The following is a 13,201-nucleotide window of genomic DNA, read 5'->3' on the forward strand; positions in this document are numbered from 1 at the left end:
AGGCTCCTCAGCGTGAGTGAATTGAGTCAATGTCAAGATGTGAAAAAGATTGGGGAGCCTTGGGCTAAATGACCGCCTAGAAACACTGCCGAAAGAACTGGAAATAGCCCGAACGTCCATCAAAAAGACGAAGTTCTTTTATTTACCAAATGGGAAATCTTCCAAGACATAGATGGTAGGTATTACGCTACCATTCATGTAAACGGGGAGAGAAGTAGAAACTTAATTGTTTGTATATGATATGATACGCAGGAAACCTGAGGCACCATGATGGCTAATTCACAGCGGAAGCCCAGGGGCCGGAGGCAGAGGAAGGAAGACGTATTCCTATAAGCCCTTTGCACTTCTGAATTTTGAGCCACGTGACAGTATTGGCTATTAAAAACAATTAATATTTTAAAGCTGTCAAATCCACCTTTGCCTATCTCCAAATTTCATCAATAATCATTACTGTCTACAGCTTCACCCCTAGTCAAATATGAGAAAATAATAGAAGAAAGATCTACTGGTTGCCTGCGTGCAGTCTGTGAAAATCCACTGGGCTTGACCCTTGCGACCTATGCACTTTTCCATACGTACAGTACACGTCGAAGCAAAAGTCAAAGACAAAATGAATAGGTTACTTAAGTCAATTTTCTTTTTGTTCCCTCTTAAGAGTAGTATAGCTTTTCATGTATTTGCCTTGATAAAATGAATTCCTATTTCAAAATTTTCAATAATAATTCTCAAAAACACCTCACCTGAGTTGAGTCAATATTGCTGACACCATGTGGCAAGGGGAGCCAGGAGCTGAGCTCCTCCCAGCTCTTCCCCAGCCTCCAGGCCTACACTCTCACTATCCTCTGACTTCTCTGTGAGTTTAACATTATTTCCAAACAAAGTTCTCAAGGCTATTTTTTAATAACCACCAATAATTATCAAAACAAGTTTAGAAATGAATCTAGACTTTGATTTTGACAGTTGTTCCTCACAAGTCATTTTAATTACCTAAGTGTCATCCCAAGGTACTATTTCTACTCGCCAAAAAAAACACTATACCTTCTGGCTAGGCTTATAATAGGGCAAAATAAGTACCTTCCAAGTCCCAAAGCTTAACGTAATTGTCTTTAACATAAGACTCCACCTCAATAATTTCCCATAATGTGAACCTTAATGGGGAAACTAGATTTACAGGAAGTTTAATAAAAGTTCCTCATCCACACGAAGGATTAATCTTACCTGAGTGGTGAACACAATGATAAACCTAATAACAACTTAGGTTAGAAGCACTTAAAGCTTTATAAAAAGAAAAATAAAAAAATAGAAATCAAAGGTCTAATAAGATGGCAAGTGTTCCAATAGATGAATTCTTAACATTATAATGAAGAACTACACGTGAAAGGGAACACTTCAAACATGTAAGAAAACATACAGGAGAAAACATATTCGTGACCTAAGGAAGGGAAGAATTTCTTAAACACAAAAGCACAAACCGTAATGGAAAAGAATGATGCATTAGATTGCACTTAGATTCACAATTTGCGTACAATAAAAATCCCACAATTAAGGTGAAAAGTTAAGTCACAGTCTGAGAAAAGATACTCTATCCAGAATAAAGCACTTCAACAAAACTGTAAGACAACATTTCAGCAGAAATACGGGCCAAGACTACGAACAGGCAAGGCAGCTCACAGAAGAGAAAAAGAGAGCTCTGGGCACTGCAGGTGGGAGGGCCCTGTGGCACAAGCCCAGGAGAAGCCTGCAGCAGTCAGTCAAAGCTCTGACACCACAGGGCATTTAAAGAAACGCAGAGCAGCAGCAGGCCCAATAACCACACTCCCAAGGAGAGCCTTGCTGCTGCTGTCCCTGACCCACCTCCCAAGGCAGGGAGACGGGACCACACGGGGAGGAGGCCTCCTCACCAACCAGGTCCCTTCAGCTGATGAGGCCACTGACAGGATGCACCAAGCCTCAGAGGGGGCTCCAAGTGTCCAGACAGGATCATTCCATGCACCCCTTCGCAGGCCATCAGAAACCTTTTGTGATTACCTCCCGTCAGAGGAAAATCATCTCCAAAATGGCCTCCCACCCTGCAGCCCCAGGATGACACTTTCTAACTACCTCTTGGCACTAACGCTAAACCCAAGTTCTTGATCAAACTCAAGAGACTGGCTCTGTTGGTGTCTGTCCAGCAGTATATAACAGCACGACCTAACTAAGACATACTTTTAAAAATTCTCTCCCGAAAGAAGGTCTGTCCTCTATGATTCCGGCAAGAAGGTTGGCTTCTCGGAGATGATGGTCAGGGGAAAGTGTTCCAAAATATACAATGTGTTACCTATTTTAACCATAATGAAATGTGTCAAGGTTATAACTACTTTCTTAGGATGGGGAAAAATGCAGAAATATTGCCAGCTGTATTCTGCTTAAAACAGCGTGAAACCCTCAAACAGCTTTCCTCGCTGCAAAAATCCGTGACGACAGAGAGATCCCGTAGGCCCAGTGAGCTGTCCCCTATGTGCTGGGGTTGGGGGGATAGTATAAGGCACACAGGGATTGAAGAGTTCACTCAAGATCACATTTAGGATTTAAAATGTATCTTTGTGACTTTGTAATTAAAAATTACATGGCCACTCCCTGTATGCTTGAAAATGTCCACTTCCCTAAAGTTCAAACAACAAAAAAAGTAAGAGTGATTAGCAGACATTTAAAAGCAAGTCTAGGGGTGGACAAGTACAGGCAAGAATACTGCTCTTTCACTCAAGTACGTGCTTTAGAACATTAGTTCAGAAAAAAGCTAACAGTTCATATTAGAAAGTGTATTCTTTTTCTTGGGCAAAAGATCTAGCAATTACCTCTGCTCCTCACAACTGCCAGGAGTTTATCAACCTAAAGACAATACAACCTCAATAATTTTTTTCACCATTAACTGGTATCAGATTGTGCAATCTGCAGGCAAAGGGTGCAGCAACAACACAGGAAAGTCCAAAGCCAGTCCATCTTCTCTACAACTGCTACAGAGAAAACATCTACAAGCGGACTTCCTTCGGCAAATTTCATTTATGTGTCACGGTAACTCAGAAGTTGCACGACAACTATTCTGAAAGCAACAACTATATTATAAACTCACAGATTAAAGTAACTATCTGAACAGTCAAGGTACACAACAAATGCGAAGTCAAATGCTATTGGCTTTTTTATACCATGATTCCTTTTATAAATTCAAAACACGTTAAGTTTCTAATCTGTGTAGGTCATTATGACCAGAAGAGAAGAGCCAGGCCTTTGCAAAAACAAATAGGGAGATATCCTACATTCTTGCAATTACATCTGTGGAATCAGCAGAAGTCAGACAAGATGATTTTCTGGATAATCAAGAAAATATCACCATGACCATCAGCAACCCATTATCTTTTCTTTAGGCCCCAAATGCCATTATTTATTAACTAAGTATTAGGACAAAAGTATGGAAGAGCCGGGCGCCGTGGCTCACGCCTGTAATCCCAGCATTTTGGGAGGCTGAGGCAGGCAGATCACAAGGTCAAGAGTTCGAGACCAGCCTGGCCAGCATGGTGAAACCTCGTCTCTACTAAGAATACAGAAATTAGCCTAGCGTGGTGGCGCCTGCCTATAATCCTAGCTACTCGGGAGGCTGAGGCAGGAGAATTGCTTGAACCCAGGAGGCGGAGGTTAAAGTGAGCCGAGATGGCGCCACTGCACTCCAGCCTGGGAGACAGAGCAAGACTCTCTCTGGGGGGAGAAAAAGTACAGAAGATATGCGCTCAAAGCCAAGAAAAGGTAATAAAGGGGAACTGAATTTTTTTTTTAATCTAAGGCTAAAAATGTAGAATAATACCAACTTCAACCCTCAAAGAGGATATCATCTCTAGTTTCCTATGATACGCTCAGAACTAATGACAAAATTGACAAAATTAAGTTTTTCCCATGGTAAAGAATTCTGTTCTTACCTCATAAGACCAGACACACTGCACCCCTGCAAACCTCCGGACACACCTTCCCACCTCCACGTCCTCATGGGTGGTGTACATCTCCCGGAGACACTTGCCAATGTGCGGCACCATTCTCCGAAGCACCTCCCGGCTCATGATCACGCCAGGCCCCCCCATGCAGAAGTTCTCACCAGGCTCCAGGGCCAGTTTTCCCATTTCTTCCGTGGTGCCCAGGCCTGTCTGCCCAAGAAAGAGGGGCTCGCTGCTGTTCAAACTCCTCAGGAAGTTCTCCAGACGGTCTCCTTTGATGTACACGTCATCATCTGCTCTCATAAACCATTCATACTTGTCCAAGTAGTGGTCGTGCATGTACTTGAGCATCATGAAGGACTTCTTCTGGGGCGGGTAGGAGTCGTCCACACCCCGTAGTGGCACTACTGGAATTGGTACAGATGTGTCAGAACCCTCACTTGAGAAGAACTGAACTTTCCCAGGAATTGTCTTGGACCATGTTCTGGAATTAAAATAAATATCAGTTAGAGAACAGTTTATTCCAAGCTGATTTTCAGGAATTCACGTTATCTGCTCATCTTGTATCGCCGTGTTCAATGGAATGATAAAAAGCTACTTGGCCTGCTTGGTTCCTCTTAACGAAAGCCCAGGTTACCGCGTATTGCAAAGTCTAAATTAACTTTCAAAAGAACCCCAACAAAAAATGAAGAAGTGTTAAAACTGTTCTGGGATAACTAAGTTTTAGTTATGGCTGAAAACCAAACTGCCAGGGGACCAAGGTCTGGGTATACAGATTAATTTTGTGATACTATCAACTCCCTACCTAAGAACTTCTCAACTCTATAAAACAAAAAACAAAATCAAATGGTTCACTCAAAAAATTTTCTTTGAACCAAGTGCCAAGTATGTGCTAAGCTAAAGGGATGTGGTGGTGAACAAAAACGTGATCCCCAACTCACAGAGAGGACATCAGGAGAGACAGACACTTACCAGAATAATGAGACTAATGTATATATTATTATGAACTAAGAGAAGTACTCCCAAAGGGCAGAGCACAGGACATGAGCTGAACCAACAGAACAGGGAGCCTTCCCCTGAAACAGGGTAAACATCAAGGAATGCAGGGCACGAGAGCGCTGTCATGAGGCGAGGAAGAAGGCTGATACGGTTTGGCTGTGTCCCCACCCAAATCTCATCTTGAATGATAGCTCCCACAGTTCCCACATGTTGCGGGAGGGACCCAGGGGAAGGTAAGTGGATCACGGGGGCAGCTTCCCCCACACTGTTCTCATGGTCAGGAGTGAGTCTCATGAGATCTCATAGTTTTACAAGGGGTTTCCCTTTTTGCTTGGCTCTCATTCTCTCTTGTCTGCCACCAAGTAAGACGTGCCTTTCACTTTCCACCATGATTGTGAGGCCTCCCCAGCTATGTGGAACTGTGAGTCCATTAAACCTCTGTTTCTGGGCCGGGCATGGTGGCTCAAGCCTGTAATCCCTGTACTTTGGGAGGCCGAGGCGGGCGGATCATGAGGTCAGGAGATTGAGACCATCCTGTCTAACACGGTGAAACCCCGTCTCTACTAAAAATACAAAAACAAAATTAGCCGTGCGTGCTGGCGGGCGCCTGTAGTCCCAGCTACTAGCGAGGCTAAGGCGGGAGAATGGCATGAACCCGGAAGGCGAAGCTTGCAGCGAGCCGAGATCGTGCCACTGCACTCCAGCCTGGGAGACAGAGCAAGACTCTGTCTCAAAAAAATAAATAAATAAAATAATTTTAAAAACCCCTCTGTTTCTTTATAAATTACCTATTTTGGTATGTCTTTATCAGCAGTGTGAGAACAGACTAATATAGAGGCAAATGTGGCCGGGGGCAGTGGCTCATGCCTGTAATCCCAGCACTTTAGGAGGCCGAGGCAGGCAGATCACAAGGTCAGGAGTTCAAGACCAGCCTGGCCAACATGGTGAAACCCCATCTCTACTAAAAAAAAAAATACAAAATTTAGCCAGGCATGGTGGCGTGTGCCTGTAATCCCAGCTACTCAGGAGGCTGAGGCAGAAGAATTGCTTGAACCCGGGAGGCAGAGGTTGCAATGAGCCGAGATCGCACCACTGCACTCCAGCCTGGACAAAAGAGCAAGACTCCATCTAAAAAAAAAAAAAAAAAAAAAAAAAACAGAGGCAAATGTGCAAGGCCTGGCAGAGTACACTAGAGATGCAGGCCTCTATGTTGCAAGAGCCACAGGAAGCCTCTAGAGGGAATGCGGCAGAAGACAAGATTAAGGCCCACACATTTTGAACTCCCTAGGAATGGAGAAGAAGGCCGAAGGAAGCCAGAGTGGACACAGGAAGACCACTGAGTAAACTACTGCAGCAGCCCAGACCCGGGTTTAAGAGACAACGGTTGCCCATCAACAGAGGGAAGATGAGTGGTCAATTGCGAGGAAACCACATAAAGGGTTTAAGAGACAACGGTTGCCCGTCGACAGAGGGAAGATGAGTGGTCAACTGCGAGGAAACCACGTAAAGGGTGTAAGAGACAACGGTTGCCCATCGACAGAGGGAAGATGAGTGGTCAACTGCGAGGAAACCACGTAAAGGCTGCTTCTGCTGAGCAGCTAATTGAAGGCTATCATATCGCACTTTCCCTCCTACTTTCTTCACGTTCTGTATTCAGATCTAAAGTTGTTTGGCTATAATAATTCATTCATACAGACTACTTCCAAGAAAAATGTATCGTGGAGAATAAATAAAATAGTAAATTTAATCTTAAAATAAAAAAAGCAGTTATCAAATGATGTTCTTTCAAATATTTTTTATTTTACCTGTTACAAGTGTATTTATTATAGTGAAAAATTACTTGAAGGATCAATGAAACCCCCACACATCTTTAAGGGAAAGTCTTAGGAGAGAAATATCTGAAAAGATACACACCAAATCTCTGCGGAAGAGGTACACAAGGAGGAAAATTGGGAGGAGCTGGAATGTGTGTGGACAAAGGTGACTTTCACTTTTTATTCTATGCATCTCTATATTGAAGGACAACTGCATAAGTATCATATTGTTTTTTTTAAAAAAAATTGTGATAAAATATACATAACATAAAACTTACCATCTTAACCATTTCTAAATGTAAAGTTCAGCAGCATTCAGTGTTGTGAAACCATCGGCACCATCCATTTCCAGAACTTTTTTCATCTTGCAAAACTGAGATTCTAAATATTTACTTTTGTAATTTTAAAAAGAACTTACAATGAAGCACTTGGAAAACAAATGACTGGCTTTTATTTCTCTTCCAAACCCAAATATGAGGAATACAAAACAACTTCGAATGTATCTCTTTCAAGTAGAGGCAAAATTCAATGGAATTCGACTTTCTGCCAACACGCCTCTCAAAAAGTGCAAGGATTAAATATATACATTTTTTCATCACATTTAGGATGTTAACTGGAAGATGCACCATTGTTTTATCTATCAACAAATTTAAAAAATACTGCCAATCATAATCCCATGACGCCGGTAACTATAAAATGCATCCTAATTTCTGAGATGTCAAAATCACAGAATGGATATAAGATGGTGTTGTTAATGTTTTCCCTTAGTGCCTATGGATTTAAAATGGACCTGTATTCTTACGCCACTTAAATAACTCATTAACAAAGAACAAGAATAACAACAAAAAACAAATTCAGCCCAGACATTCATTCCACGGTTATTAACAGATACTGTTCTAGGTACTGCACTTCATTTTCACAAAGGATATGCTCCTGAAGAAAAAGGATGTAGAATAAACGTAGAGATGTGGAAATTAATTTAAAGAAAAACCAATCCCACCTACAAAGGGACAAGTCCTTTTGCAAATGCGACAATGTGTGAATGTGTGACAAGCTATACAGAGTCTTCTGATGCGGTGACATATGGAGGGGAGATAACTTCTCAGAACTCCTCCAGCCTTGGGAAGTTAGTAAGGACAAAATTATAGTGCAATGACCCCCCATTCAAGTCGAGGAGCCCCTGATAATGCTCTCTTTATAGAGAAATGTTTTTCATTTGGCAGTCGCAACAATTCTTTGAAAATGTAAATAATTTCAGTGCTTGGCACATAATAGAGGTCACTAAATGTGTGCACTGAATACTGCCCACTCATGTACAATAAGTAACTTAATGGTGCCACACGTGTTTGCAAAAGGTCAGAAATCATTTCTATCTTGTACTTTGAGAAATTTTCAACCTAGGAAGCCATGAAAATACTAAAACACTGTAATGTTATTTGGGAGATGGGGTGGGCGAGACAATTCCTGCCTTCAAAGAACAACCAACTAAGGAGGCGAATCTACAGCATCACCGCAAGAGCTGGCTCTGGAATCAGGCCATGGGGGCGAGAACTCCAGCTCCACTTGGGACAAGTTACTCTGTGCCTCAGTTTCCTTATCTGTAAACGGGGGTTGTTGTGAGGGTTAAATGAGCTCTCTGTAAACAGCTTAGAAGCCTGCCTGGCACTATGTAAGTATGACTTATTATTAAGGAAGACAAGAGTTTGCAAATCAAATAAGGTAGTGAAAGAACAGGAAAGTGTGGGCTCCACGTGGACTAGTCAGTCTCAGGAGCACACGGAGCAAAGGTAATGTGGAAAATGCTTCTTAAAACCTGAGCCTCAAGCTATGTACTGAAATCCTCTTTTACTATCAACTTCAGACAATGTTACAGGAAAGAGGCCTAACTGCAAATTTCACGAGCATTTCGCGGTAGAGCACGAGAAACTTCCCTACTAGACTGAGGATGAAGCTTCATTATAGTTTGGCCCTGCTTCCCGTGTACCCCACCAGGAAGAACACAGTGAAAGAGGCCCCAGCAGTACAACCAGCACAGACGCAATTAATGTCTCAACTATGACTGAAATGGTGTAATTTGCCCAAGAAGAGAAACCAATTAATTTTAAAAACAGTCTAACCTCAACCCTACAGTTTTATGGTAACTCCACCCAATTATTATCTGTTCCTTTTTAGGTAACTCAGGGAAAAACCTCATGTTGTCCTTTTCTGTTCTAAATGACTGGTGGTTGGTTTGAGGGAAATCTCTCAATGTCAAGTCTTTGTAAACCCTCCAATCTTAAGAAATTATAATCTTTTCAATTAGGGTCCTTTAACTTGAAGAGCTCCACAAAGTGAACGAGTTCAGGAACATAAATCGTGATTCACCACCATCCTGAGGAGGAGGAGGGGATGCATTAATAATTTCAAATAATTGAAGGGAATGCTCCCAAAGAAGCAAGCTGTCCCCTCTTCTGCAATATCAACAAGTCCAGTTCCTTCATTTTCATAAGCAAACGTCAGCTTTGCCATCAACACATTTGTTACCGGGAGCAAAGAACTCTCACTTAATTGAAATGACAAAACGTTTGCAGAGGCCTTGCCAGAAAAAGCTCATTTTCAATGAACTGATGTCCAACCCTTGCTCAAGCCCAGATAAGACAGCTGAAACTTGAGAGTGCCAAGTGAATCCTCCATCACTCTAGGTTTCTAAACGCTATTCCTACACTGAGTCAAATCACAGTTAAGTAATTCAGCTGGACCAGTATTAGCTTAGCTAAGGAATGCCTTTGCTGGTTAGGACTTAACCCATTTATGTCAGAGGTTGCGATTTTTTTGTGTGGAAAAAAAATCAGACTTTGGTGATAACCTTGAGCGGGATATAAATAACTCCCACAAGCTTAGCGTTCCAATAATGGAACTCTAGGCATAAATGGGTTAATATCATAGTCTCCATTTCCATTCAGTGTTGTTTTAAGAAAAACTACATAAAATACACTTCTGTACAAAACTGCATCTATAGCATGACTCTTGTCCTAGGTAAATATTCATAATATACGGGTAAGCTTAAAAAGCAGGCAACAGTATATACTTGTGATGTGGCTTACCAAGGGAACAAAAGTACATATACAAAAATAAAATAACGTACAACTCCACCCCCAAAGTATTCACCGTGGTTATTTTTGGATGGGAAAACCAGAAAGGATTTAATAGTCTTTTTTTTTGTTTTCTGAGACGGAGTCTGGCCCTGTCGCCCAGGCTGGAGTGCAACAGCGTGATTTCACTGCAACCTCCGTCTCCCAGGTTCAAACGATTCTCCTGCCTCAGCCTCCCGAGTAGCTGGGATTACAGGCACCTGCCACCACGCCCAGCTAATTTTTGTACTTATAGTTGAGACAGGGTTTCACCATGTTGGTCAGGCTGGTCTCGAACTCCTGACCTTGTGATCCGCCCACCTCGGCCTCCCAAAGGGCTGGGATTACCGGCGGAAGCCATTGCGCCCGGCCAATAGTCTTCCTTGTGTTTTCTAAATTTTCTAAGTTTTCTGCAACAGGTATATTTAGAGCTGGAAAAAAAGTTTTAACTGGGCAAAAGCTTTGAGGCTAACAAGCAACCAAAGAAATCAAAACATGTAACAACAGAGAATTTTTACTTTTGTAATAAAATTTTTTTATCCAACAAGAAAAACTGAAAGAAAAATGGAGTAAGATTGAGTCGTTTCAATTGTGATTTTTAAGCTTTAATAGTTATTCTACTAGTTACCATTAAAAAGGTGGGGAGATTTTCTGTGAGTTCCCCAAAATCACTATTACATGTGCTGTCTGATGGCTACACGGCAGTCAGTTTAAAAGGACTCATGATAAAATCATCTTGGAAGTTAAAGAAGGGAGGATATGGGTTTTTCTCTCTGTAGAACTGATGGATAATAGGAATTAAGGGTATATACAGCTGTTCCTTATCATCCAAGAGGGAATGATCCCAGGACCCCAAAATCCACAGACGCTTTAGTCCCTGATATAAAATGGTGCAGTATTTGCTTAAACCTTCACATACCCTCCTGTATACTTTAAATAGTCTCTAGATTACTCATAATACCTAATACAATGTAAATGCTATGTAAATAGTCGTTATACTATATTGTATTTACTTGTATTGTTTTTATTATTGTTATTTTCTATTGTTTTTCCCCCCAAATATTTTCAATCCATGGATGGTGGAATCCACAGATGTAGCAGATAGCAGGGCCAGCTGTATTTACATTCTCCCCTGTTACAGAAGGGATTTAAGACAACTTAACCAAAATCATACAGGATGAGAAAAATCAGCAAGAAAATGAGACCAAAGAAAAGTAAGAGTAGGAAACCCTTACGCAAGGAACGAAAGGCAAATCCTGGTGGAGGCTGCCCTGCCCAGGGCAAACCCTGACTCAGTGAGAGCACTCTCAGGAGCCACCACTTCAACTGCAAAGTGCTCTTGTGCTGAGACCTACCTGCCATCACGTGACCTACGGATGTGCTAGTGGTGGGCCCAAATTCAGCTACAAACTTTTCAGCAGGCAGCCATGAGAAGTCACGAGACTGTGTCCTACTGTTCAGGGTTAAGTGTAAAAACATACTAAGGCCTGAGGGAAACTTCTCCCAAGGTCAATGATGGAGGTATCCTTACAGGAAGTACAGTGTGATGGAGCAGCAGTCCAAGTTCATCCTCCAAGAGAGTACACGGAGGGCACCACTCTATGCTGCCAGCCAGAGCCACAGCCTTCAGAAAAGGGAGGGGTCTTTCAAGGCCACCAAGTGATGCCACGGGCCTCTCCTCGGCCGGAAGGAATCCCCTCTGGCAGGATGTTGCAAACACTGTTCAATCCCTCATCTCCATCTTCTGCCTTGGTCCCAAAAGCTCTGCAGCAAATGCATTCAGCTGCAGTTTCCCACTTCTGTGCATGTGGTTTCCGGGTATGTGGTTTCCTCTTTCAAAACCTTTAACTGTCTCATCGTGCACGTCCTTATGACCTGTCCAATCTCAAACCCTTTTTGAAAGGAGGTGGGAAAATGTAACAGAGGCTGTGAATGGTGGGAAAATTATTTTAAAAGAAAAACCAAATTATACTCCTTACTGTCCATCCTAAAAAATAGACTTGAGGGGAAAGCAAGCAGTAAAGAGCCCTTTTTTTTCTTAATTAAGCTGTTGGCAGGGGGGATTACAGCCTCCCACTTCAACAATGGCCTGGGCACAAGCCCAGACGGCATTCCAAGGTATTAAGAGCTACGAGGAGCCCGCCCTTTGAGCCCAGGTTCACGGCAAACAATGGGAACAGAGACCACAAATAGGCCACTTTTGAAACATCACAATTAAAATTTGGAGTGTAAATGACAGAAGACGAATTCTGATCTCATGAGACATTTCCAAAGCTTGAAAGTGTTGGAGAGCTCCTTTCATAATTTGCATATCGCTGCTGTATCCTTAAAAGTATAAATATGCGACTAATACTTAATGATCCACATGAACCAAAAATCAGTATCGTTTAATGCAAACAATTAAACCACCCTGAACTTGTTCTGGCCGACCACTTTGCAAATCACCGTCTCCCTGAACTGAGGCACCGTCCTCTATAAAGCCCACCTAAACACAGTCACCAGCCACCCTGGCCCCACAGCCTCCACACTGGCTTTCCATCCCACACACGCGCCTCCCAGGTGGTCACCCACATCACTTTTCCAGGCTCACGGACACTGCTAAGGCTGAACAAACAGTCATCGTGGATAAGGAGACCAGCCTTACACACACTTCAACCACTTTCAGACCCACTCCCAGCATGCATGGCTTGGCGACTTGAAAACCTGGACAAAACCTGCCGGTCAAGGACAACTTTGCAGTGCTTGGGCTGGATTTAACTGAAGGCCAGACAACTTGATTCCAGTGTTAGCTTCTGAGGCCACATTCTGTGTCTGGATCCGTGTGCGCCTCTAAATTGTGCCCAATTACCTGCAGACACTGCCATCAGTTACCAAACACGCCGAGCAAAGTGTAACAGTCTTTGCGCCTATGGTCCACCTAGAAAACCACAATTTCAATGGCCTCAACACCTACAGTCAATAATCCTCAGGCTTTTGGTTTACAGGCATCAACTTGACACCACATCAGAGCAGACTGGACCTTATTTGTAATCATCCAGAAAATGTATTTGTCTACAGAAAAAATGCTGCAGCTATAAATGCTTCAGAGATGACACTGAATTCAGGTGAGAAGATGGACAGCTTTTATGCTTGTAAACTGTAGCTAGGTTTTCTTGTTCACCCAATGCCATCCGGAACCAGAAGCCAAAAAGGCCTCAACAACAGGTGGAAGCACTGAGTATTTACATTAAGATACAAAAGCTGAGGCCCCTGCACTGAAAATGCTGCCACCAGATCCTCCCCAATGTCACCTGGAAGCGTGAAGTTACAGTAACTGAGG

At 42.6% G+C, this 13,201-nt stretch overlaps 1 protein-coding gene across 2 annotated transcripts in view, besides 1 other annotated feature; it reads right to left on the bottom strand.

The window, feature by feature from the left end:
* Positions 1 to 13,201, bottom strand: part of CHSY1 (chondroitin sulfate synthase 1) — a 76,322-nt gene that overhangs the window by 55,408 nt on the left and 7,713 nt on the right. For both annotated transcript variants that reach the window (NM_014918.5, XM_011521364.3), the window contains exon 2: positions 3,948 to 4,443. In NM_014918.5, the coding sequence (NP_055733.2) occupies positions 3,948 to 4,443 (496 nt within the window). The remainder of the gene's footprint in view (positions 1 to 3,947; positions 4,444 to 13,201) is intronic.
* Positions 8,710 to 8,759: an enhancer, noted in NCBI's record as "active region_10190". NCBI's record gives its function as "activates an Ori minimal core promoter by ATAC-STARR-seq in GM12878 lymphoblastoid cells {active_cell/tissue: GM12878}" and the evidence as "EXISTENCE:reporter gene assay evidence [ECO:0000049][PMID:35858748]".

The sequence above is a fragment of the Homo sapiens genome, chromosome 15, assembly GCF_000001405.40.
Source record: "Homo sapiens chromosome 15, GRCh38.p14 Primary Assembly".
Classification (NCBI taxonomy): Eukaryota; Metazoa; Chordata; class Mammalia; order Primates; family Hominidae; genus Homo; species Homo sapiens.